Here is a 26,686-nt window from a genome sequence, read left to right on the forward strand (position 1 = left end):
AAAAAATTAGCTGGGCGTGGTGGCGCATGCCTGTAATCCCAGCTACTCGGGAGGCTGAGGCAGGGGAATCGCTTGAACCCAGGAGGCGGAGGATGCAGTGAGCTGAGATCAGGTCAGTGCACTCCAGCCTGGGTGATAGAGCGAGACTCCGTCTCAAAAAAAAAAAAAAAAAAAAAAAAAAAAAAAATATATATATATATATATATATGTATATGTATATATGTATGTGTGTGTGTGTATATATATAAATATATGTAAATAAATATAAATATATATAAATACATATAAATAAATAAATATATATATAAGCATACTATGTATGTACTGCGTCGTTTGGCAGTCATTTTGCTAAGTGCAGATGACACAAAGAAGAGCAAAAAGCAACATCCCACTTCTAGAGCTGAGAGTTGCAGCACATGTGAGTGAGGGCTCAAATCCTGGGCCAGGAACCCATGATGGAGAGTTCCATTGCTGCTGGGCTTCATGTGTCTGATTTAGAGTTAATGCAATCCTGTCTGTTGTGGAGAGTGCACGAAGGCATATGAAAAGGGGAGAAGCAGACCGGGCGCGGTGGCTCACGCCTGTAATCCCAGCACTTTGGGTGTCCGAGGCGGGTGGATCACGAGGTCAGGGGTTCGAGACCAGCACGGCCAAGATGGTGAAACCCCGTCTCTACTAAAAGTACAAAAATTAGCCAGGTGTGGTGGCGGGCGCCTGTAATCCCAGCTGCTCGGGAGGCTGAGTCAGAGACTCGCTTGAACCCGGGAGGCAGAGGTTGCAGTGAGCCGAGATCGCACCACTGCACTCCAGCCTGGGCGAAAGAACGAGGCTCCGTCTTAAAAAAAAAAAAAGGCGGGGGAGGAGCAGCATATTCACAGTAAGGAGAAATGACTGTCATTGTGTTTACTGACGTTTCTCTAGGGAAGAAGCCCTGGCCAAATCCCACCCTTCAACCCCCCAGGGGCCTAACAGAAGAATGCACATCCTCGGGAGCTACCTAAATCTACTGAATTACAATGCATATGGGCGGGGCCCAGGAATCTGCAGTTTAATAACGAATATCCCCAGGCCATTGTTATGTACGCTTAAGACCTGAGAACCATTGGCCTCTCCAACCTTTTCTCACTTCACCTATTAAAAGCCCTATTTTATAGAGGAGGAAATTGAGGCATAGGTTAATTAACTTGCTAAAGTCACATGGAACCTAGACCAGCTGGAATCTAGACCAGCTTGAGATACAGTTCTTTTCTTTTTCTTTCTTTCTTTTTTTTTTTTTTTGAGAGACGGAGTCTTACTCTTACTCTGTCGCTCAGGCTGGAGTGCAGTGGCGTGATCTCGGCCCACTGCAACCTCCGCTTCCCGGGTTTAAGCGATTCTCCTGCCTCAGCTTCCCAAGTGGCTGGGACTACAGGCGTGCGCCACCACACCCAACTAATTTTTGTATTTTTGTTTTTTTTAAGTAGAGACGGGGTTTCACCATGTGTTGGCCAGGCTGGTCTCGAACTCCTGACCTCAGACTCGGCCTCCCAAAGTGCTTGGATTACAAGGTGTGAGTCACCGCGCCCGGCCAGCTCTTAGTCTTAAACCCAACAGTACGTTATCTCCTTTTGCTAACTGATTTGTTGCTAAAACTTCAACAAGCACTGGACTTGGAGTTTGAACACTTAGTCTGAGGGCCCACTATGTTCAGTCTAGTGAGTCTGAGCAATTAACTCACATTTTGAATTTCAAGTCTCTCGCCTTAGGCAAAACACCACCACCTGATGCTCACCAGAGGGGCGTGACGCGGCAGCTGGGCAGGGAAGGGATGGGAAGGGATGGGAAGGGAGGCGATCGATAACTCCGGTGTGCCGCTGACTGTTGGATTGGCTCGAACTTCTCCCGCCAGGCCTAACCTACTCCCGCGCACTCCTGGGCCCGCCCAGCCGCCATCTTGGTCTAGGAGGGAGCGCGCCGCACGCGTGAGTAAACAGCCGGAGCTGGGAAAGTCGAGCTCTGGCAGCGTCTGGGTGCTGAGGGGCAGAGGCGGAGAGAACCCTGTCCTGATCTTCCTAGGTGGGATAAATATCGGGGTGACAGTGGTAGGCCGCGGGGAACCCTCAGTCTGCCCACCCTCCGCCCCCTCGCGGCGAGATGCCTCGTTCCCCGGGCTTCTCCCGCCCTCCGCCGATCTCCTCCCTCTGTTGAAAGCTGCCCGGGAAAGTGGTGGCGGGAGCGGGCCCAGGCCCGAATGTGGCGTGGGCTCAGGTGTCTGGTGTCGGGCGCCGGAGGAGGTTCGCGCTGGGGTTTGGTGATTCGGAGGCCTGGGGTGCAGACGCGGCGTGGCTGTGAGGCCCGGGCGGGCGTGCGGGTGTGAGGGCCGGACTCACACTGGGCCGCCGCGGGGCTGTTTCCATCGGTCACTGGATTTTCTCCTCTTCCGGTTCGGGCCTCAGGGTGGCCGACATGACGGCCAGGGGTCAGAGCCCCCTCGCGCCGCTGTTGGAGACTTTGGAAGACCCTTCTGCCTCCCATGGAGGGCAGACTGACGCTTACCTGACTCTGACCAGGTGAGGTCCGCCACGGGGCGTAGCGGAGAGTGGGGCGCTCTATAGTGGGGAGAAAGAAGGTGGTTGGGAGGGGCGCGTAGAATGAATGTGAGTTCTAGAAGTCTAGCAAATGTGAGGACGCCCGAGTCGCGGACGCCTTGGGGGGCGGGGGAGATGTATTCTAGGTGACGTTCCCGGGTACTGCTGCTGCTGCGCTTGAGGTGTGTGTTTGGAACGAGGGAGCATGCACGTGTGTTTTGCAAGCGAGGGATTTTTAAAAGTTTCGGTTGGAAGTAGTTGTTGGAGGAGGGGTCTTCAGTGTAAACCTCCGATGTGTTGGGAAAATGTGGCTACCCAGAGTTTTTTTAACAGAGCAATACACTGATTTTTATTAATTGCAAAATGCTTCAAAGTAATTTTCATAGAAATGTACTAAAGTTTTGTAAAACCCTTTGGAAAGGCTTAGCAAATCGTTAGTAACTAGGAATAGGGATCCCTGTTCTGTCTTTTTGGAGTCAGGTTGTCACAACTTGCATGTACTCGATGTAAAAACTTATTCTGAGGGTTTTTCTACTTTCATTTCTGATATATATTGCATTATATATTCTGTATACCCTTAAGGACCTTACCTACTGGGTCAATTCATTTGCAGGAGTTAGAAAGTAATTTTTAAAAAGATTGTACATGTATTTTTGAGAGTATTTTTTTTTTTCCTGTCAACTACTTAAACTTGTGTTCTTCCTGCTTTTTAAGTCGTATGACTGGAGAAGAAGGAAAAGAAGTAATTACAGAAATTGAGAAAAAACTTCCTCGGCTGTACAAAGTTTTAAAGGTATGTATCTGTTTGTTAAACAGTTTTTCACTTTTGGTAGTTTGGTTTTTTTTTTTGGTTTTGTTTTTTTGTTTTGAGGTGTAGTTTTGCTCTTGTTGCCCAGGCGAGAGTGCAATGGCTCAGGCTCGGGCTCGGCTCACTGAAACCTCCGCCTCTCGGGTTCAAGCGATTCTCTTGCCTCAGCCTCCTGAATAGCTGGGATTATAGGCATCCGCCACCGCCCCGGCTAATTTTGTATTTTTAGTAGAGAAGGGGTTTCTCCATGTTGGTCAGGCTGGTCTCGAACTCCCGACCTCAGGTGATCCGCCTGCCTCAGCCTCCCAAAGTGTTGGGATTACAGGAGTGAGCCACTGTGTCCAGCCACTTTTGGTGGTTTTTAAAAGTTTTGCCAGTTGACTCAAAAGCTTTGAATCTAAAATAACAGCAATAATACTGATTATAATACTCTTTATTGTTACTTAAAGCTTCTCAGGTACTTTCTTAATTACCTTACACGCTTTATCACTTAACTCTCCATGGTTCCATGAGATTATTTCTTAATGATCACTTTGCAGGTGAAGAAATTAATTTAATTTGCCTAAAGTTGCCTAGGGGCACTTGAATCTGAGTTTGTGCTCTTGAAAGCAGAGATCAGAGATTAATCTGTTTTCTTTCCTTTTGGGAATCTACATCTAAGTAAGTGCTTCTAAAATTACAATTGTCTTTGGTCTAATCTAGGTAGCATTAATTTCTTTTTCCTCATTCACCCTCAGTTTTTGCTACAACCGTTATCATTTTTGCTTTAGGGAAATGATGTTTGACATCATACTGTGGACCTGTGTTCCTGTCTTCACTTGCCTACTTAATGGCTTCCTGACTATCCTTAACATCTTTTAAATTTCCTTGTTTTTAGAATGAAAAAGTTGAACTTTTATCTCCAAAGTTTGAGTTCTCATTTTTATGACCTTGTTCTCTTTTTTTAATTTTTTTTGTTTGTTTTTATTATGACCTTGTTCTTGTGCTTTTATTTTTGTTTTTAATTTTTAAAATTGAGGTGGGGGTCTTGATAGGTTGCCTAAGCCAGTCTTGAACTCCTGGGTCCAAGCGATCCTCCCACCTCAGCCTCCTTAGTAGCTGAGATTACAAGTAGGTGCCACCATGCCCAGCTTTTGTGCTTTTTGTTTGTTTGAGACAGAGTCTTGCTGTGTCGCCCGTGCTGGAGTGCAGTGGCACAATCTCAGCTCACTGCAACCTCTGCCTCCCAGGTTCAAGTGATTCTCCCGCCTCAGCCTCCTGAGTAGCTGGGATTACAGGCATGCCCCCACCACACCCAGCTAATATTTTTAGTAGAGACGGGCTTTCACCATGTTGACCAGGCTGATCTTGAACTCTTGACCTCAGGTGATCCACCCGCCTTGGCCTCTCAGAGGGCTAGGATTATAGGTGTGAGCCACCGTGCCCAGCCGTGTGCCTTTAAACAAGTGTTTCATCCAGACATGTACATTTTAACGTGATTTTTGGCGAAGTATTAACAGAGATACTGCCTACTCTTGGTGGTGTCACAGTCATCAACATTTTTTGTGTAAGCAGAAACTTTATTGTGTGCTAGTTACTTAATATCAGTGTTTATTCCATTTTCTTCATTATCATATTCCATATTATAATAATTAGATGTGAAGACATGCACTTTCGTGTATTGAGTATTTATAGGATCAGGAATTCTATTGCATACTTTTTTTTTTTTTGAGACGGAGTTTTGCTCTTGTTGCCCAGGCTGGAGTGCAATGGCTTGAACACCTCCTGGGTTCAAGCCGTTCTCCTGCCTCAGCCTCTCAAGTAGCTGGGGTTACAGGCATGTGCCACTACGCCCAGCTACTTTTTTTTTTGTATTTTTAGTAGAGACGGGGGTTTCTCCATGTTGATCAGGCTGGTCTCGAACTGCCGACCTCAGGTGATCCGCCCACCTTGGCCTCCCAAAGTAAGCCTGGGCCATTGTGCCCAGCCTTACTGCATACATTTTGAGTCAAGTTGCATTGTTCGTAAATAGGATTTGTACCTGAAATTATTTGGATGCACATGGAAGGTTGATAATAGGACAATAAGCAATTTTAAGCAATGAAAGGATAATTGAATTCTTTCAGAGTAGGAACCATACCAGGTAAAATAGAACATGTTTATATGTCGTGTTCAGAGTTCAGCTAGGATTGTGTCTAGGAATCTACAACATTCTTGAAAATGAGACACATCATCGTTAAGGAACACTTTCAAGTAAGTTTAATGAAGATTAATCACAAACATTTACTAGCTGTTATCCAGGAGATACACTAGTAGCTCTCAAAGTATTAAGCCTTACTTAGTTGCTTACAACTGGTTGCTGTGCTATATCCCTTACATTCTGTACTCTAGGATTTGCATTTTTTGGCTTCGTTTTGTAAATATAGAAGACACTGCAGGGAAGTATCTGCTCATATATTTAACCATTTACATTTGCTATTCTTCCTGCTCAAGAATAACAATTGAAGATTCCTTGGATATTTGATTCAAATAGATATGGGGGTTTTGAAGATAAATCCCTTTGGAGTAGGAAATGGTACAAGGGAAATGGGGTACAGGGTAAAAGTAAACTTTCATATTGAGATACTCTTTGACAGATTTGGCCTTTTATAGCTTTTACATAAATGGTATGAGTTGGGCTTTAAATTCTAGATTGACAGCCAGGCACGGTGGCTCACGCCTGTAATCCCAGCACTTTGGGAGGCCTGAGGCGGGTGGATCACCTGAGGTCAGGAGTTTGAGACCAGCCTGGCCAACATGGTGAAACCCCATCTCTACAAAAAATACAAAAATATAGGCATGGTGGCGCGCGCCTGTCATCCCAGCTGCTCTTGAACCTGGGAAGCAGAGGTTGCAGGGAACTGAGATTACACCATTGCACTCCAGCCTGGGCAACAAGAGCGAAACTCTGTCTCAAAAAAAAAAAAAATTTCTAGATTGACATGGATTGAAATTCTCTTATGTATAAGGTTTAAAAAATTGTTTTATTTTACTATTAATTGAGATAATAATAGATACTTTATAAACGTTACATTCTAACCCCTTCCTTCTCCCAGTCTTAGAGGAAGAGATGTCACTCCACTCTAAAGCTAGGATGTTAGCTTTTGGATTTGAGTCTCTTGTTTACTCAGTGGAAGGGCCTTGCTCCCTTTTCCCTGTCATGTCTTTAGCATCTTTCATCTGTTGACCTCTTTGCTTTCATAGGTGTAGAGATATCCTTTATCTTCATTCAGGTGATCTCGATCCAGTTTCCTCTCCTTTCTTTACCAAGCTGTACACATGGCCTTTGGATTTTATTCCTTGTTTATTTTTATTTTTATTTTTTATGCGTATTCTCAAGGATTTGTTGGAGTAACATGATGAATATGCTTGTTCTGTAATCAACTTCTGCTTTCTAAAAATTGATTTACAGTTGTGCTTGTTTGTAATAAATGTGATTTTGTTTTTGTAGACTCACATTTCCAGTCAAAACTCGGAGCTGAGTAGTGCTGCTCTACAAGCCCTGGGGTTTTGCTTATATAATCCCAAAATTACCTCAGAATTATCAGGTAGATAAATTTCTTATGACTTAATATTTTTAGAGTATAAAGTATAAGTTTTAAGTATAAGTAGTTTGATGCTGTTAAAAGTACTGTTATGTCTGGATTAGTTTCAGAACCTGTAGTTTAAGGTTTGCTTTTAAGAAAGAAAGAATGGCTGGGTGTGGTGGCTCACGCCTGTAATCCTAGCACTTTGGGAGGCCGAGGCGGGTGGATCATGAGGTCAGGAGATCGAGACCATCCTGGCTAACATGGTGAAACCCCGTCTGTACTAAAAATACAAAAAATTAGCCGGGCACCGTGGCGGGCGCCTGTAGTTCCAGCTACTCGGGAGGCTGAGGCAGGAGAATGACGTGAACCCGGGAGGCGGAGTTTGCAGTGAGTCGAGATCGTGCCATTGTACTCTAACCTGGGTGATAAGTGAGACCCCATCTCAAAAAAAAAAAAGAATGTTTAGATTATCATTACCTACACATAGCTCTAACTTCGATACTACAAAATTTGCTCTTAAAAATAATGGTATTTGACAAAAGATTAGCCGGGCGTGGTGGCAGGTGCCTGTAGTCCCATCTGCTGGGGAGGCTGAGGCAGGAGAATGGCGTGAACCTGGCAGGCAGAGCTTGCCACTGCACTCCAGACTGGGACTCTGTCTCAAAAAAAAAAAAAAAAAAAAAAGGATATTGCTGGGTGCAGTGTCTCATGCCTGTAATCCCAGCACTTTGGGAGGCCGAGGCGGGTGGATCACCTAAGGTCGGGAGTTCGAGACCAGCCTGGCCAACCTGGAGAAACCCCGTCTCTACTAAAAATACAAAAAAAATTAGCTGGGTGTGGTGGCGCATTCCTGTAATCCCAGCTACTCGGGAGGCTGAGGCAGGAGAATCGCTTGAACCTGGGAGATGGAGGTTGCAGTGAGCCAAGGTGTTGCCATTGCACTCCAGCCTGGGCAAGAGTGAAACTCCGTCTCAAAAAAAATCAAATGAAAAGGGTATTTAAACATGATTGCTGTAAAAAGGGAAACTTTTATTCAGGCATATGCACTAAGGAATATGCTGAATTGAAAAGTTCTTTGACATGATAAATGTGGGATAATTTGGAACTAAAAGTGGTAATGAAAGCACAGAACCTAATGCTTTCCAAGTTTTCAAGTAGTCTGCACTGTTGCTCCATAGTTAGATGATTTCCATTGTAAAGGAAACCCTTATCTTTAGAGAAGGGAAGTTAGGAATAAAGATGTCAAAGTTGTTACCATCTGTTTTTGAGGGAAAAGCTGCTGCCTGCTCTTTTTTATACATGGAAGTGTTAGCAACCTAAAGCAGGAGTTGTTCATTTTGGAGCAGAGATGCAGGATTGAAAACATCTTACCAAAAATTGTCTTGTATGTTCAAACCTACAGTGATATCTAGTTATTTCAGTTGCACAAGATATCTGATTTGGTGTCTGTTGTTTTATTTTCTCTCAGTATATCCTCCCCTCTAATCTGAATTTTGTGTTTTTGGGAGAAGTTTGGTATCAGCATTGGTTCTCTGATCTGTTCTCTGGATATACATTTAATTTTATGATTGATGAGTATATTGTTTTCTCTAGTTTTATATTTGAGACTTTAAAGAGTATCACCTATTCTATACAAAATTAAAACTGCTTGTTTTTCAGAGGCAAATGCTCTAGAATTGCTTTCAAAATTGAATGATACCATTAAGAATTCAGACAAAAATGTACGTACTAGAGCACTTTGGGTGATATCTAAGCAGACATTTCCCTCTGAAGTGGTTGGCAAAATGGTGAGTATAGTTTTTGGGTATGCCATCTTAACTATATGCCAATTAAAAGAAAAAACTATAATGCCAATAAAAACAGTTCAGGCTTATTTCATTTGTATTTATTTGGTTCGTTTTTTAGGTATCCAGTATAATTGATTCATTAGAAATACTGTTTAACAAAGGAGAGACGCATTCTGCTGTTGTTGATTTTGAAGCATTAAATGTTATCGTAAGGTATGCATTTGGATGTTGTGCAAATTGAAGAATAGTTTTCATAAATTTAGCTGAAGGAGAGGGTTTTTGGGATTTAAATGAGAGACAGACATTAAAAGGGGGGAATGTCATTTACACCAAACGACTCAAGGACAAAAAGTAATAGAAAAAAGATGGAAGTAGATATGTGTGGGTTACTAGGTTTTTTGTTTATTTTTACTGGGACCATGTTCAAGGTGAAGTCTTGGTTATGTTCCTGCTAGTAACATACACAGTTCAGGTTTGAAAAATATCTTAAAGTTTGTGTAAGGATTTAAAAAATAATGTAAACTCATAAGTGGGCTTGGGTTGTTTAGGAAGGCAGTCAGTGTTTAGCAGGGAATAGAGTACCTTCTTCATTTTTGTTGTAACAGGCATGCCAACGCATAAACTCTTTTAAGTGTAAACTCTTTGATGACATTTCTGTCTTCCCTGTTTTTTGTTCTTTAAAATTTTCTTGTTGAGTTACTTGCTTTAACTTCCCCACTGTTGAATGCTCTGATTGATGCTAAGATTATGTCATGGTTCTCTGGCTATCCTTTTCTATAACAATGATGAATTTAGTAATATAACAATAAGTAATACAGTTGGCCCTTTGTAGGTTCTGCATCCTTGGATTCAACCAATTGAGGGTTGAAAGTCTCAGAAAAATTGCATCTGTATTGAACATGTACAGACTCTGATTTTCTTGTCATTATTTCCTAAACAGTACAGTATAACAACTACTTACTTAGCACTTACATTGTATTAGCTATTATCAGTAACCTAGAAATGATTTAAAGTATATGGGAGGATGTGCGTAGGTTATATGCAAATACAGTCATGTGTCACATAATGATGGGAATACATTCTGAGGAATGCATCATGTAATTTCATCATTGTGCAAACATTATTAAGAGGACTTACACAAACCTAGGTGGAATAGCCTACTATATACCCAGGCTGCATGGTACAACCTGTTGCTCCTAGGCTACAGACCTGTACAGTATATTACTGTACTGGATATTGTAGGCACTTCTAACACGATACTATTTGTGTACCTAAACATAGAAAAGGTACACTAAAAATATGATAAAAAAGATTAAAAAATGGTACACCTGTATCTCACACTTACCACGAATGGAGGTTTTAGGACTGAAGGTTCTTTGGGTGAGTCAGTGAAGGAGTGATGAGGGAATGTGAAGGTCTAGGACATTACTGTGCACTATTGCAGATTTCATAAAGACTGTACACTTAGGCTATACTAAATCTATAAAAACATTTTTAAAATAAATTAACCTCTACTTTCTGTAACTTTATTTTTTTGAGACAGTCTCACTCTGTTGTTCAGGCTGGAGTGTAGTGGTGTGATATCAGCTCTCTGCAATCTCTACCTCCCAGGTTCAAGTAATTCTTGTGCCTCAGCTTCCCGAGTAGCTGGGATTATAGGCGTCAGCCACCACACCTGGCAAATTTTTGTATTTTTAGCAGAGACAGGGTTTTGCCACGTTGGCCAGTCTGGAGTTGAACTCCTGACCTCAGGTGGTGCACCCACCTCAGCCTCCCAATGTACCAGGATCACAGGCCTGAACCACTGTGCCTGGGCAGCTTACTGTAACTTTAAAATTTTTAAACTTTTTGACTTTTGTAAGAATAATTAGCTTTGGCCAGGCACAGTGGTTCAGGCCTGTAAGAATAATTAGCTTTGGCTCACACCTGTAATCCCAGAACTTTGGGAGGCCCAGGTGGGTGGATTACCTGAGGTCAGGAGTTTGAGAGCAGCCTGGCCAACATGGTGAAACCCCATCTCTACTGAAAATACAAAATCAGCCGGGCGTGGTGACGCGTGCCTGTAATCTCAGCTATATGGGAGACTGAGGCATTGAGAATCACTTGCACCCGGGAGGCAGAGGTTGCAGTGAGCTGAGATTGCACCACTGCACTCCAGCTTGGGTGACAGAGTGAGACTTGGTCTCAAAAAAAAAAAGAATACTTAGCTTAAAACACAAACATACAATTGTGCAAACATATTTTCCCTCGTTAGATCCTTATTCTAGGAGCCTTAAATTCTTTTTTTTTTTTTTTTTTTTTTTAACTTTCATAACTTTTTGGTTAGCAACATAACACATCAGCCTAGGGCCTCTGCAGGGTCAGGATCATTCTACTGTCTCCCACCTCCACATCTTGTCATACTGAAATGTGTTCAGGGGCAGTAACATGCATGGAGCTGTCATCTTCTGTGATTGATGCTACCTTCTGGAGTATCTGCTGAAGGACCCTCAAGGCTACTTTGCAGTTAACTTTTTTTAAATACAAGTAGGAGTAAACTCTAATGATAAAAATTATAGTGTAGGAGTAAACTCTAATGATAAAAATTATAGTGTAGTATATACATAAACCAGTAACTTAGTCATTTATTTTTTGTTTTTTTATTACTATTTTTTTTGAGACGGAATCTTGCTCTGTCACCAGGCTGGAGCGCAGTGGTGAGGTCTTGGCTCACTGCAACCTCCGCCTCCCGGGTTCAAGCAATTCTCCTGCCTCAGCCTCCCAAGTAGCTAGGATTACAAGCATGTGCCACCACACCCAGCTAATTGTTGTATTTTTAGAAGAGACAGGGTTTCACCATGTTGGTCAGGATGGTCTCGATCTCCTGACCTCATGATCCACCCGCCTCGGCCTCCCAAAGTGCTGAGATTACAGGTGTGAGCCACTGCACCCGGCCGGTCATTTATTATCATTATCATATAGTACAGTATTATGTTCTATATGTAAATGCGCCGTACTTTTATATGAATGAGAGCGCAGTAGATTTGTTTACACCAGTGTCATCAGAAACATGAATAATGTATTGCACTGCAGTGTTACAACAGCTATGATGTCACTAGGTGATAGGAACTTGTCAGGTCCCTCATAATCTTATGGGACCACCATTGTGAATGTGCTGCATCTTTGACCAAAACGTTGCTCTGTGGTGAATGACAATACTGTCCTTTTCATATTGGACTTGAGCATTATTGTGAGGTCCTGGAACCAATCCCCCAGGGATACTGAGGGATGACTGAAATGTTTCAATCTAAAGACAAGATTGGTTCTTTAAAAAAAATTTACAAAAGCAATAATGTGCAAATTCGTAAAAATAAGATCTATTTCTTGTGTGTATATGCATATTTGTATATATTCTAAAACAAATGGGCCGTACTGTGTATATTTCTGTTTCACCTATTTTACTGCTTGTTTAGACTTAAAACATGAGGTCACGCTAATTATTCATTGATTTCTCTATTATAGGCTAATTGAACAAGCCCCAATTCAAATGGGAGAAGAGGCAGTGAGGTGGGCAAAACTGGTCATACCTTTAGTGGTTCATTCAGCACAAAAGGTACATTTGCGGGGAGCAACTGCTCTGGAGATGGGAATGCCATTATTGCTTCAGAAACAGCAAGAAATAGCATCTATTACGGAGCAGCTTATGACTACTGTGAGTGTTCTTTTATGTAAGAATTTTCTGGATACTGCATCGGAAGGTTCTGCACTAAGCTTAAAATTCAGTCTGGTGGCCAGGTACGGTGGCTCTCACCTGTAGTCCCAAAGCGGGAGGCTGAGGTGGGAGGATTGCTTGAGGCCAGGAGTTCCAGACCCATCTGGGCAACATAGTGAAGACCCATCTCTACAAAATATCTTAAAAATTAGCTGGGCGTGGTGGCATGCGCCTGTAGTCTCAGATGCTTGGGAGACTAAGGCGGGAGGGTTGCTTGACCAGAAATTTGAGGCTGCAGTGAGCTATGATCTCACCACTGCATTCTAGCCTGGGTGACAGAATGAGACCCTGTCTCAAAAAAAAAAAAAAAAAAAAATCTGTCTGGGCATATTGGTATAGTTGCACTATGATATAGGATTTTAGCTTTGAATCAAAACCTTAAGAGTTGCATAAGTTAGCAAAGGCACATTGCTCATTACATAGTAGTAAGGAAGGGAGCTATCTATTGTTGCTAAAATCCAGACATTTTACTTCATTCCCAATAAATAGGAAATAGGAATTGTATTTCTGAAAGAGGGAGAGCATTAACTGATTGACTCATGTTTGGGTTGTTACTGTATAATCCCAGTAGATACAAATTTAATGTACATAAACTTACCTAGTCTCTATAGTTTTCTAGTTATTACTTGCCACAGGTTTTAGGTTTTCTAACCATTGTTGTTCTAACATATTTACTGGGCATCTGATATGTGCAGTGCATTGTTGCAGGCGCTGTGAATATAGCAGTGAACAAAAGAGGCTTGATGGAGCTTATTTTCTTGTGGGAGAGATAATTAAGTACATAGTGTAGTAAGTGAAGACCACTAAGGAGAAGAGCAAGGACCGGAGAGTGCTGTGAGAAAGGAATGTAAGGTGGTCAGAGAAGGCAAAGGAAAGGACATTTGAACAGTGATTTGAAGGCAGAGTAGGAGTTACCCATGTAGATAAAGAACCAGACAAGAGAACTATGAGGGCAAAAGGCCCTGCTCTAATGGTTGTGTACCTGGTTGGTGTTCTGGGAACTCTGGGCAGTATGACAGTAGTGGAGTGAATGAGAGTGAGAGGAAAAGAGGGCCCAATCACATAGGACTATGGCAGGGACCATTGTAAGGATGGATTTTTACTCTAGATTACATGGAAAGCCATATTTGAAGGTCTTGTTTTGTTTTTTGTTTGAGACAAGGTCTCACTATATTACCCAAGCTGGTCTCGAACTCCTGGGCTCAAGCAATCCTCCCACTTCACTCTCCCAAAGTGTTGGGATGACAGGCGTGAGCCACCACACCCAGCCCCTAAAACCTGGGATTTTACTTGCTTAAAATGCAGAAGACTTCGTGGTAATGTTCAGTATGACACAGTAACTCGAGTGTCTCATAAATAGCTTTATTCTGATGAATTCAATTTTAGTGACATATATAATTTTTTTTTTTTTTTCGAGACAGTTTCGCAATTGTTGCCCAGGCTGGAGTGCAGTGGCGCAGTCTCAGCTCACTGCAGCTTCCACCTCCTGGGTTCAAGCGATTCTCCTGCCTCAGCAGGAGTAGCTGGGATTACAGGCACCTGCAACCATGCCCGACCGATATTTGTATTTTTAGTAGAGATGGGGTTTCACCATATTGGCCAGGCTGGTCTCGAACTCCTGACCTTGTGATCCGCCCGCCTCGGCCTCCCAAAGTGCTGAGATTGCAGGCATGAGCCACTGCGCCTGACCATAAAATTCTTTCTTTAACCCATTTATCAAGCTTGCAACAAAGCATATATGAAATTCTTTATATAAATTTGAGCTAAAAATTATTTCACGTGTCTGTTGATTATGAAGCTATTAATGTATTTTTTCATTATTGTGAAAAAATACAGTGTCATTTAAACTAGTTAATGATATGCATGCTGACATTTTTAGGGTAAAGTATATTGGTAGAAAAAAAAAGTTGGATTGATGGATGGTAGGATGGCCAGATAGGTGATAAGACCAACATAGTAAAGTGTTAATGGTAGAATCTGAGTGTTTGTATTAGAGCATTTACTGTAAAAACTCACTCGGATTTGCTATATGCTTCAGTTTTCCTTTTGGAGTCTTTTGGGAAAATTTTTTTTTTTTTTTGAGACAGTCTTGCTCTGTCGCCCAGGCTGGAGGACAGTGGCACGATTTCTGCTCTCTGCAACCTCCACCTCCCAGGTTCAAGCAATTCTCATGCCTCAGCCTCCCGAGTAGCAGGAATTATGGGCGTCTGCCACCATGCCCAGCTAATTTTTGTGTTTTTAGTAGAGACAGGGTTTCACCATATTGGCCAGGCCAGTCTTGAACTCCTGACTTCAAGAGTGAGGCCGAGGCAGGTGATTCTCCTGCCTCAGCCTCCCAAAGTGCTGGGATTACAGGCTTGACCCACCGCACCTGGCCTTGGGTGGGGTAATATTTTTATTATGGAGAAAACTATTTGGTTGAATCAGTTTTTGAAAATTATTCCTAGACTTTGGTATTGGATTTTTTTTTCTAAGAGTCTGTTTGGTAAATTAATTGCTTTTGTTTGCAGAAATTAATCTCAGAACTTCAGAAGCTATTTATGAGTAAAAATGAGACTTACGTGTTAAAATTATGGCCTTTGTTTGTCAAACTACTTGGAAGGGTAAGTGCCCAGTTAATGAACAGTCAACAGTTTTTACATGCTGGACTCTTTATTTTCTTACCTTTTCTTTGTACAGTTGATGCTCATTATTTCCTTTGTACAGCTGATGCTCATTATTTCATGCCTACTCACTAAAATTTATTTGTAAATCTGAAACCAGTACTTGCATTGCTTTTGCTTTCATTTGTAGACACCCAAAGTGGCAAAGAATTGGAGTCACACAACGTGCATGTTTCCAGCTGAGGTCAAGCAAGGTTACGCTCTGCCTTTTTGTTTTAGTTCTCATACCTTAAACAGGTGTCCTTTTTATAATCCATGTAATGCCACATTTTTCACTTTTCTGTGCTTTTCCTGGTGGTTTCACTGTTTAAATTTGGAACCTAAAGCTTGGGTCCAGGTGCTTTCTAGTTTGTGTTCCTAAGCAAAGGAAGGCTGTGATATACCCAATGGTGAAAATAAACTTTGTTCAGGCATGATTTATAGAGCTACTGGCTGTGAGTTTGATGTTAGTGATTCATTTGTATAAAATATCTTCTAATAGACGTTAAGCAGGTTATATATTGAACAGCTGACAAAAGTGTTGTGTCCAGAGAACCTAACCCTGTATTTCCCATGGGAGTGATCACTCAGTATTTGCCAATTTAGTGTTCAAGGCTACTTTATATAATAGAAAACCATAACTACTATGAATAATGAGAGAGAATCAACTGTATGTTCAATGATTAAGCCAGGTTTTGGGTGGTAGGGGGTGTGCTGCTTTTATTGTGGTAAATATACATGTTCTAACCATTTGTAAATGAACAAGTCAGTGGCATTAAATCTATTCATAATGTTGTAAGCATCACCACTATCTATACCCAAAACCTGTGCATCATCCCTAACAAAAACTGTACCCATTAAAGAGTAAACTTCCTCTGCCCTCCTCCTGCACCCAGACATCACCCTTTGGTAATGTCTGTTCTACTTCCTGTCTCTGAATTTGCTTATTCTAGGTACCTCATAAAAGTGAAATTATAACATATATGCCCTTCCGTGTCTGGCTTATTTCACTAAGCATAAAGTTTTTTTATTTTTCTCTGAGACGGAGTTTCGCTCTTGTCACCCAGGCTGGAGTACAATGGCGTGATCTTGGTTCACTGCAACCTCTGCCTCCCGGGTTCATGCAATTCTCCTGCCTCAGCCTCCTGAGTAGCTGGGACTACAGGCATGTGCCAGTATGTCCGGCTAATTTTTGTGTTTTTAGTAGAGATAGGATTTCACCATGTTGACCAGGATGGTCTCGATCTCCTGACCTTGTTATCTGCCCACCTCGGCCTCCCAAAGTGGTGGGATTATAGGCGTGAGCCACCGTGCCTGGAAGCATAAAGTTTTTAAGATTTATCCATGTCATAACATATATTAAAGTTGGATTCTTATGGCTGAGTAATTGTATGTATATAACACATTTTGTTTATCTGTTGAGAGACATTTAGGTTGTTTCTACCTTTTGGCTATTGTGAATAATGTTGCTGTAAACACCAGTGTACAAATCTGTTGGAGTTCCTGCTTTCAGTTTTTTGGGTATATGCTTAAGAGTGGAATTGCTGGGTTATGTAGTAGTTCTATGCTTAACTTTTTGAGAAAGCTCCAAACTCTTTTTTTGAGACAAGGTCTGGCTCTATCTATCACCCAGGCTGGAGTGCAGTGGCACAACCTCGCTCACTGCAACCTCTGTCTCCCAGTCTCAAACCATCCTTCCATCTCAGCCTCCCAATTACCTGGGACTACCACCCAGCCCGGCTGATTTTTTTTTTTTTTTTTTTTTTTTTTTTTTTCCATATTTTTTGTAGAGACTGGGTTTTGCCGTGCTGCTCAGGCTGGTCTCTAACTCAAGTGATCCGCCTGCCTCAGCCTCCAAAATTGTTGGATTACAGGCATGAGCCACTTGAACCAGCCAGCACCAAACTCTTCTGTAGCAGCTGCCCCATTTTACATTCCCACCAGTAATGCACTGGGGTTCCGCTTCCATAATATCCTCACCAACACTTTTTATTTTCCTTTTTTTGATAGCCATCCTAGTGAATGTGAAGTGGGATTGATTTGGTATAGATTTGCATTTCTCTGATTACTAGTGATGTTGAACATCTTTTCACTTGGTTCTTGGCTGTTTGTTTCATTGTCTGTGGAGAAATGTCTAAGTCCTTGGCCCATTTTTGAGTAGGTTTGAATTTTTGTTGTTGAGTTGTAGTTCTTTATATGTTTTGGATATGCATCCCTTAGTTTTGTGATTTGCAAATATTTAATTCCGTTCTGTAGGTTCTCTTTTGCTTTCTTGGTAATATCCATTGCAGAGTTTTTAATTTTGGTGAAGTATAATATATATATTTTTTGTTATTGCTAGTACTTGACATCATATTCATGAAGTTGTTGCCAAATCCAGTGTCATTTTTGTTTCCCAATGCTTTCGTCTAAGAATTTTCCAGTTTTAGATCTTGAATGTAGATCTTTGAACCATTTTGAGTGAATATTTGGATATGGTGTAAGGTGAGAGTCCACGTTCATCCTTTTGCATGCAGATGTTCAGATTCCTCAATATCTTTTACTGAAGAGGTTGTTTTTATTAAATCCTTGTGGTACCCTTTTTTTTTTTTTTTTTTTTTTGTGAGACAGAGTCTTACTCTGTTGCCTAGGCTGGAGTGCAGTGGCATGATCTCGGCTCACTGCAACCTCTGTCTCCTGGGTTCAAGCAATTCTCCTGCCTCAGTCTCCCAAGTAGCTGGGATTACAGGCGCGCACTACCATGCTCGGCACATTTTTTTTTTCTTTTCTGTATTTTTATTAGAGAAGGGGTTTTACCACGTTGGCCAGGCTGGTCTCGAACTTCTGAGCTCTAGAGATCCACCCGCCTCGACCTCCCAAAGTGCTGGGATTGCAGGCGTGAGCCACCGCGCCTGGCCTGTGGTACCCTTTTGAAAATCAATTGAACATAGGTGTAAAGATTTATATCCAAGCTCAGTATTCTATTCTTGTGGTCTGTATGGCTGTCCTTATGCCATTATCATATGTATTAATTACTATAGCTTTATGCTAAGTTTGGCAGTCAGTTTGTCTGGTTTTATTATTTTTCAGGATTGTTTTGGCTTTTAATTTTTTTTTTTTTTTTTTTTTTTTGAGCTGGAGACTGTCCGTGTCGCCCAGGCTGGAGTGCAGTGGCGTGATCTCAGCTCACTGCAACCTCTGCCTCCTGGGTCCAAGCGATTCTCCTGCCTCAGCCTCCCGAGTAGCTGAGACTGCAGGCGCACGCCACCACGCCCAGCTAAATTTTTGTATTTTTAGTAGAGACAGTGTTTCACCATATTGGCCAGGCTGGTCTCGAACTCCTGACCTTGTAATCCTCCCGCCTTGGCCTCCCAAAGTGCTGGCATTACACGTGTGAGCCACCACGCCTGGCTGTTTTGGCTTTTTGAGACTGCAATTCCGTGTGAATTTGACGATCGACTTCTTTATCTGTGAAAAAGACAGTTGGAATCATGGTAGGGATTGTGATGAATCTGCATATAATGCCTTGAGTAGTTAGCATTTCATTGATGTTAAGTCTTTCTACCCATGAACACAGATGTCTTTCCATTTATTTAGGGTTTTTTTTTTGTTTTTTTTTTAAGACAGAGTCTCGCTCTGTTGTCCTGGCTATATTGGCTCACTGCAACCTCAGCCTCCCGGGTTCAAGTGATTCTCCTGCCTCGGCCTCCCGAGTAGCTGGGATTATAGGTGCCTGCCACCATGCCTAGCTGATTTTTGTATTTTTAGTAGAGATGGGGTTTTACCATGTTGGCCAGGCTGGTCTCAAACTCATGACCTAAAGCAATCCATCTGCCTCGGCCTCCCAAAGTGCTGGGATTACAGGTGTTAGCCACTGTGCCAGGCCTAGGTCTTTAATTTCTTTCAGCAGTGCTTCATAATTTTCATCTTGTGTCTTTAACTTCTTGGGCTAGATCTATTACGAAGTATTTCCTTTAGCTCTTATAGCTAACTTGTGTGTTTTTTATTTTCTAAACCTTTTTTTTTTGTTACCGGTTTATAGCCTGTTAAGATTATATGTGGTTTATAGCCTGTTAGGAGCATTCGTGTTGATGTAATTTTTTATTTGTGATGCATTACTTGTCATTTTTCCATTTTGTACTTTATTTTCCTTTTTTTCTTTTTTTTTTGAGACAGAGTTTCACTCTTGTTGCCCAGGCTGGAGTGCAAACATGATCTCGGCTCACTGCAGCCTCGGCCTCTCAGGTTCAAGTGATTCTCCTGTCTCAGCCTCCCGAGTAGCTGGGATTACAGGCATGTGCCACCACGCCTGGCTGATTTTTGTATTTTTAGTAGAGAAGGGGTTTCTCCATATTGGTCAGGCTGGTCTCGAACTCCTGACCTTAGGTGATTCGCCTGCCTTGGCCTCCCAGAGTGCTGGGATTGCAGGTGTGAGCCACCGTGCCTGGCCTATTTTTTTTTTTAATTTTTTTTTTTGTTTTTTTTTCTCCTGAGCTCATATTTTTCTTTTTGTTTGATAGTATTCCCATTTAAATCTTACATAATATTTGGAAGTAATTCAGAAGTTATCCGGTTTTCTACCAGCTGTGGTTGCTCATGTCTGTAATCCCAGCACTTTGGGAGGCTGAGGCGGGTGGGTCACTTGAGGTCAGTAGTTAGTCACCAGCCTGGCCAGCATGGCCAGCATGGCAAAACCTTGTCTCTACTAAAAATACAAAAATTAGGCCGGCATGGTGGCTCACGCCTGTAATCCCAGCACTTTGGGAGGCCGAGGTGGACTGAGTTCAGGAGTTCGAGACCAGCCTGGCCAACATGGTGAAACCCTGCCTCAACCAAAAATAAAATAAGTAGCCAGGCATGGTGGCACGCACCTATAATCCCAGCTACTTGGGAGGCTGAGGCAGGAGAGTCGCTTAAACCTGGGAGGCAGAGGTTGCAGTGAGCTGAGATCCAGCCATTGCACTCCAGCCGGGTGACAGAGCAAGACTCCATCTCAAACAAAACAAAACAAAACAAAAATTAGCTGGGCGTGGTAGTATTAGCCAGTAATCCCAGCTACTTGGAAGGCTGAGGCAGGAGAATCACTTGAACCCAGGAGCTGGAGGCTGCAGTGAGCCAAAATGGCACCACTGCACTGTAGCCTGGGCGACAGAGCGAGATTCCCTCTCAAAAAAAAGAAAAGTTATTCAGTTTTCTTGATTTTTATCTCACTTTTACTATTTTTTATTAGCAGATAATACTGTTTTTAAAAAATATTTCTTTTACAGCCATGAAATAAGATGTTTCCTTAATTTTCCATTCAGTTTGTTTGAAAGGTTATTTTTATTATTTTCAGGGTTCAATGCCTTTTTTCTCTAATATAATTTTTTAATGTATATTTTGTTTGGTATTGATTTGATAAAGTTTGGGATTTATCTGCTCTCCTAATTTTCTGTTTTAGAAATGTTCTGTGTTGTACATTGTCTGCTTCTTCAAACTTTATATATTTTGTGATCTTGAGTTTAGAATGTGTGTTTAAAGTTTATTTTCTTATATTCCTAAGACTTTTAACATATCTAACATTTAACACATCTCTTTATGTTTTGTGAATAATTTGTCTTTTGTCTCCCCATTAGATTATGAAGTCCTAAGAGCATCTGTTAAGTGAATGAATAAAGGAATGATAGCAATTATTCTGTTTCATGCAGATAAATAACTTCTTAATGATTTTTTCCCCTTTTTAGACCTTGCATCGAAGTGGGAGTTTCATCAATTCTCTCTTGCAACTAGAAGAACTTGGATTTCGTAGTGGAGCACCCATGATTAAAAAGATAGCTTTTATTGCTTGGAAGAGTTTAATAGATAATTTTGCTTTAAATCCAGGTAAGTAATATTTTAACAATTTTGATTTTCTGTGAATTTGTTTTGCTTAAAGCAAGATAAATGAAGTTTTTCTGGTTTTTTGGATTTTAAGTTGAAGTTAAGTAACTACTGAATTATTTTCATTTTAAGGGAACAGGAATAAATTTGTACTGAAAATAGAATTCACATACTAGGCATTGGAAATCACAAATATGAAATCTGTTTCACAGTATTTCAAAAACTGAACAAAGTGAAAAATAATGATTTGTGGCTTCCTTTTTTATTTATTTATTTATTTTTTGAGACAGGGTCGCTCTTGCCCAGGCTGGAGTGCAGTGATGGGATCTTGGTTCACTGCGACCCCCGCCTCCCAGGTTCAAGAGATTCTCCTGCCTCAGCCTCCCGAGTAGCTGGGATTACAGGTGCCCACCACTACACCCGGCTAATTTGTGCATTTTTAGTAGAGACAGGGTTTCACTATGTTGGCCAGGCTGGTCTGGAACTCCTGACCTCAAGTGATCCGCCCTCCTTGGCCTCCCAAATGCTGGGATTACAGGCGTGAGCCACTGCCCCCAGCCTATTATTTGTGGCTTTCTTACATGTTAGCACTGAGTTGAGTACTTTATGTATATTTTATTTAATCATCACAATAGACCTGAGATGTAATTATTAATCACTATTTTAGAGAGATTGAGTAATTATCCAGAGGTCACATAACCAGTAGATGATAGGAAGCAGTTGTGATTTCCATGGAATAAAAATATCAGTGATCGATGACCTTACTTCTTTCAGGATCTCTAGAAGAGTACCTAATAGTGGTTTAATATTGATATATGGAAGTCATTCTTTTTGATTTACTTTAACCTTATCTTCTTATTGTTCAATGGAGTTTTCTGATAATATATTCACAAGAAAGAATATTTAGCCCAAAACTGTGTTAGTATGAGTACTTAACTAGGTGGTAGTTAATCTTAGATTTAATTAACACTGTATGTTTACAAGAGCTGCTAAGTAATGTTGATTTTTATCCTATATTTTTCCTGCCAAAGACCATTATTTATCCCATTTCTTCCTCCTTTTAATATGTTTTGTATTGTGATTATTTGCATTAATGTATAATAACTTTTTTTTTTTTTTGAGACGGAGTTTCGCTCTGTCGTCCAGGCTGGAGTGCAGTGGCACAATCTCGGCTCACTGCAAGCTCCGCCTCCTGGGTTCACACCATTCTTCTGCCTCAGCCTCCCGATTAGTTGGGATTACAGGTGCTCGTCACCACGCCCAGCTAATTTTTTTGTATTTTTAGTAGAGACGGGGTTTCACCGTGTTAGCCAGGATGGTCTTGATCCCCTGACCTGGTGATCTGCCCGCCTCAGCCTCCCAAAGTGCTGGGATTCCAGGTGTGAGGTACTGCGCCCGGCCTTTTTTTTCTTTTTTGTTTGAGATGGAGTCTCACTGTGTTGCTCGGGCTGGAGTGCAGTGGCGTGATCTCAGCTCACTGCAACCTCCGCCTCCCAAGTTCAAGCGATTCTCCTGCCTCAGCCTCCCAAGTAGCTGGGATGACAGGCGCCCGCTGCCACGTCTGGCTAATTTTTGTATTTTCAGTAGAGACAAGGTTTCACCATACTGGCCAGGCTGGTCTCGAACTTCTGACCTTGTGATCTGCCTGCCTCGGTCTCCCAAAGTGCTGGGATTACAGGCAAGAGCCACTGCTCCCAGCCCTATAATTACTTTTATTTAAAATACTGGTACATTTTGGGGGCATAGTTTCCCCCCCTCCCCCCACTTAGGGTCTTGCCCTGTCACCTAGACTGGAGTGCAGTGGCTGACTGCAGCCTTGACCTCCTGGGCTCCAGTGATCCTCCCACCTCAGCCCCCCCAAGTAGCTGGGACTACAGGCGTGTGCCACCATTTCTGGCTAATTTTTGTATTTTTTGTAGAGGCGGGATTTGACCACGTTGCCCGGGCTAGTCTCGAGCTCCTGGACTCAAGTGATCCACCTGCCTCAGCCTTCCAAAGTGTTAGGATTACAGGTGTGAGCCACTGTGCTCATTCTACTACAATTTTTAATTGAAATTGTAGCTTATTTTTATGTTTATGAGCTGGCATGTATTTGGGTCTAACTGTAAACCCAGAAGTGTGAGGTAATGTTTGGGACTACAATCTTTAGGAATTAAGTTAAAGCATAAAATAAGAGTAGTTTAAAGATAGTAAGTTAAAAATAAGTTCAGAGCTAGGGAATCCATGACTGATGCTGTGGATCCGGGAAGTCATCAAGGAATCAGATGACTGTATTTTTACTCTGCCATCTTTGATTTGTCTTAATTGCAGACAGGAAGGAGGGAAGGCAGAAGAGCAGAAAAGACTTCTTCACAGCTTACTCACCTATACCTAGAAATAGCCTTCTAAGAATCTTATATACACATCCACTTAAATTTTACTGGGTAGAATGGCTCAGTGGCCGACTAGAAAAAGTAGTCAAAAATTGGGCACCCATCACTGTCCTGTGTAAAATCAGATTTTTTAATTAAAGGAGATTGGTTTATTGCATGGCAATTAATCTCTGCTACTGTAGAGATATTATTATGGAGCTCTTCTCATAAATAGAATAGAGTCCAGACGTGGTGGCTCACGCCTGTAATCCCAGCACTTTGAGAGGCGGGCAGATCACCTGAGTTCTCGAGTTAGAGACCAGCCTGACCAACATGGAGAAACCCCATCTTTACTAAAAATACAAAGTTGGACGGGCATGGTGGCACATGCCTGTAATCCCAGCTACTTGGGAGGCAGAGGCAGGAGAATCCGGGAGGAGGAGGCTGCAGTGAGCCGAGATCATGCCATTGCACTCCAGCCTGGGCAACAAGAGTGAAACTTCCGTCTCTGAATGAATGAATGAATGAATGAATGAATGAATGAACAAAAAGAATAGGAGACCCCAAAAAGGAAGTGTCTTGGACTGGAGAACTTGTTCATACAGTGATAGCCTTTATTTTCTTATAGAACTGTTAATTGAAATAGCTAAATGGCAGAGTAGTTGTAACAGACATTGTTGAGTGCCATTCCACCAAATACATGGCCTGATTGATGTTTCAGAATCCTTTTCAAGTTATTTATTTATTTATTTATTCAGGACGGAGTCTCACTCTGTCACCCAGCCTGGAGTGCAGTGGTGTGATCTCAGCTCACTGCAACCTCTGCCTCCTGGGTCCAAGCGAGTCTCCTGCCTTAGGCTCCTGAGTAGCTGGTATTACAGGAGCCACCGCCATGCCTAGCTAACCTTTTTGTAGTTTTAGTAGAGGTAGGATTTCACCATGTTGGTCAGGCTGGTTTCAAACTCCTGACCTCAAGTGACCAACCTGCCTCATCCTCCCAAAGTGCCAGGATTATAGGCGTGAACCACCACGCCCAGCCCTTTTAAGGTCTTTTTGACAAGTTATTTTAGCACAGACTGTGTCTTAATTTTACATATCCCCAGTCTTACTCATTTGGCATAAATGTTTTTTCTGAAGATTGGATTTAATTTCTATGCTGAATTTTAACAATATGATTATTGTTAAGATAGGGCAGTCCTGAATCTAAATGAATCTATTTAGATTTCAAAAATGTATTCAGTCAGTGGCCCCAGTAGTAATGATTTTTGATGGAATATATTAATAATTGATTTTTAAAATGATAGCCTTTTTTGACATAATGTAAACATATGCTTCCGTTTCTTTGTCAAATGGGGATAATGAGAATGCTAAAGCAGCTAGGACAGTATTTGTCAAAGTTTTGGCATTTTGTGCTGGATAATTTGTTTTTCAGGACTGTCCTGGTGTGGTGTTGAAGTTTAGTAGCGTCCGTAGTCTCTACTCACTAAGATGTCAATAGCATCCCCTCATTTGTAACCAACCTGAAGTATTCCCTGGTGGGAAATTGCCCCGGCACACAATATCTAATAAATATTACTTATTTGTTTTAAAATATATTTTTGATTTATTGAGTGTTTTTGGTTCAGCTGTACTGTAGTTTATCAAAATGCAAGTTTTGGGTAGAGCAAGGACAGCCTGGGGATTTATTTTTTTAAAAAAATTTTAAAATACGTTCTCTTGCTGTGATAAAAGACTGTTGCATAGCTAGTGTTAGAGTTAATCTTTAGCTTGGACGTCTCTTTAACTGTGTGCTTATTTTCTTTTAAGATATACTATGTAGTGCAAAAAGACTCAAGTTGTTAATGCAGCCTTTGAGTTCCATCCATGTGAGAACAGAAACTCTAGCATTAACAAAACTAGAAGTCTGGTGGTATTTACTGATGAGACTTGGACCTCATCTTCCTGCTAATTTTGAACAGGTAACATTACAAGTGTTGACTATAGCACTTTATGTTTTTGTTAATGTGTTCTTAAATTCTTACCAATGTAATCCTGTGGTGTTATTTTTGCTATTTATTAGCAGACTAGAACATATAAAAGGTCTTTCACTTTACTGGCAGAGAACTTAAATTCATTTCCCACAAGGGATATTGTTCAGTTGCTTGAAATGGAGCCCCTTTACCTGAAATGTTTTTATTTATTTATTATTAATTTATTTATTTTGAGATGGAGTCTTGTTCTGTTTCCCAGGATGGAGTGCAGTGGCACGATCTCGGCTCACTGCAACCTCCACCTCCTGGGTTCAAGTGATTCTCCTGTGTCAGTCTCCCGAGTAGCTGGGACTGCAGGCGCACGACCACACCTGGCTAATTTTTTGTATTTTTTAGTGTAGATAGGGTTTTACCATGGTGGCCAGGCTGGTCTCGCACTCCTGGCCTCAAATGATTCGCCCATGCCAGCCTCCCAAAATGCTGGGATTACAGGCATGAGCCACCGCGCCTGGCCCTGAAATGTTTTTAAATTAGCAAGTACTCAAACATTCTTACTCTACAAGCATTATGATTTTAAACAAAGGGTTTTTTCCCCTAGAGCATTTGGAATATAATTGAGAAGAAAACCAGCATCAGTGAAATAGAAATCAGCCGGGCGCGGTGACTCATGCCTGTAGTCCTAGCACTTTGGGAGGCAGAGGCAGGTGGGTTGCCTGAGCTCAGGAGTTTGAGACCAGCCTGGGCAACATGGTGAAACCCCGTGTCTACTAAAATACAAAAAAGTAGCTGGGTGTGGTGGCATGTGCCTGTAGTCTCAGCTACTCGGGAGGCTGAGGAGAATTGCTTGAACCCAGGAGATGGAGGTTGCAGTGAGCTGAGATCACACCACTGCACTCCAGCCCAGGCAACAGAGTGAGACTCCATCTCAAAAAAAAAAAAAAAGAGAGAAATCAAGTGCTACACTGGGTAGATACAAGGTTGGACCAGTTCTTGTTTTTTTATTTCTTGCTCCGTTTTCTAGGCTGCATAGTGATAACCAATGACTGAATCCTATTTATAGGTTCTTTTTAATTGTTACACAATGATTTTACGAATTCTTCAGGATTTGCATATCCTTACTGGCATTTAGATATAAAGTTTAATCTTAACCTAAACCTTTTGAGTTATTTGCAGTTATTTCCATCCTTGGTTTTTGAATTTTTTTTTTTTTTTTTTTTTGAGATGGAGTCTCGCTCTGTTGCCCAGGCTAGGGTGCAGTGGCACGATCTCGGCTCACTGCAAACTCCACCTCCTGGGTTCACACCATTCTCCTGCCTCAGCCTCCTGAGTAGCTGGGACTACAGGCGCCCGCCACCACGCCCAGCTAATTTTTTGTATTTTTAGTAGAGACGGGGTTTCACTGTGTTAGCCAGGATGGTCTCGAT

The 26,686-nt window shown here is 41.8% G+C and overlaps 1 protein-coding gene across 48 annotated transcripts in view, besides 4 other annotated features; it reads left to right on the plus strand.

Moving 5' to 3' along the window:
- Positions 835-1,533: an enhancer, noted in NCBI's record as "NANOG-H3K27ac-H3K4me1 hESC enhancer chr2:152265327-152266025 (GRCh37/hg19 assembly coordinates)". NCBI's record gives its function as "activates a minimal SCP1, AML or CMV promoter by ChIP-STARR-seq in naive and primed H9 embryonic stem cells {active_cell/tissue: H9 hESC(naive and primed)}" and the evidence as "EXISTENCE:reporter gene assay evidence [ECO:0000049][PMID:30033119]".
- Positions 837-1,131: a silencer, noted in NCBI's record as "tiled region #847; HepG2 Repressive non-DNase unmatched - State 10:DNaseD". NCBI's record gives its function as "represses a minimal TATA promoter and a strong SV40 promoter by Sharpr-MPRA in HepG2 cells {active_cell/tissue: HepG2}" and the evidence as "EXISTENCE:reporter gene assay evidence [ECO:0000049][PMID:27701403]".
- Positions 1,534-2,232: an enhancer, noted in NCBI's record as "NANOG-H3K27ac-H3K4me1 hESC enhancer chr2:152266026-152266724 (GRCh37/hg19 assembly coordinates)". NCBI's record gives its function as "activates a minimal SCP1, AML or CMV promoter by ChIP-STARR-seq in naive H9 embryonic stem cells {active_cell/tissue: H9 hESC(naive)}" and the evidence as "EXISTENCE:reporter gene assay evidence [ECO:0000049][PMID:30033119]".
- Positions 1,837-1,996: an enhancer, noted in NCBI's record as "active region_16637". NCBI's record gives its function as "activates an Ori minimal core promoter by ATAC-STARR-seq in GM12878 lymphoblastoid cells {active_cell/tissue: GM12878}" and the evidence as "EXISTENCE:reporter gene assay evidence [ECO:0000049][PMID:35858748]".
- The window catches only part of RIF1 (replication timing regulatory factor 1), a 124,534-nt gene continuing 99,771 nt past the window's right edge, over positions 1,924-26,686 (plus strand). For 26 of the 48 annotated variants that reach the window (XR_007077534.1, XR_007077537.1, XR_007077543.1 and 23 more), the window contains exons 1-10: positions 1,924-2,055; positions 2,436-2,549; positions 3,282-3,360; positions 6,845-6,941; positions 8,583-8,710; positions 8,829-8,923; positions 12,212-12,401; positions 14,972-15,064; positions 20,806-20,944; positions 25,099-25,250. Coding sequence is in view for 29 of the 48 variants with exons in the window: in NM_018151.5 (NP_060621.3) it covers positions 2,446-2,549; positions 3,282-3,360; positions 6,845-6,941; positions 8,583-8,710; positions 8,829-8,923; positions 12,212-12,401; positions 14,972-15,064; positions 20,806-20,944; positions 25,099-25,250 (1,077 nt within the window). In the remaining 19 variants the exon portion in view is untranslated. Of the gene's footprint in view, positions 2,550-3,281; positions 3,361-6,844; positions 6,942-8,582; positions 8,711-8,828; positions 8,924-12,211; positions 12,402-14,971; positions 15,065-20,805; positions 20,945-25,098; positions 25,251-26,686 lie in introns of all 48 variants that reach the window. The other 22 variants (XM_005246665.4, NM_001177664.2, XM_047444880.1 and 19 more) reach the window with 8 other exon arrangements.

Source organism: Homo sapiens, chromosome 2 (assembly GCF_000001405.40).
Source record: "Homo sapiens chromosome 2, GRCh38.p14 Primary Assembly".
Taxonomy (NCBI): Eukaryota; Metazoa; Chordata; class Mammalia; order Primates; family Hominidae; genus Homo; species Homo sapiens.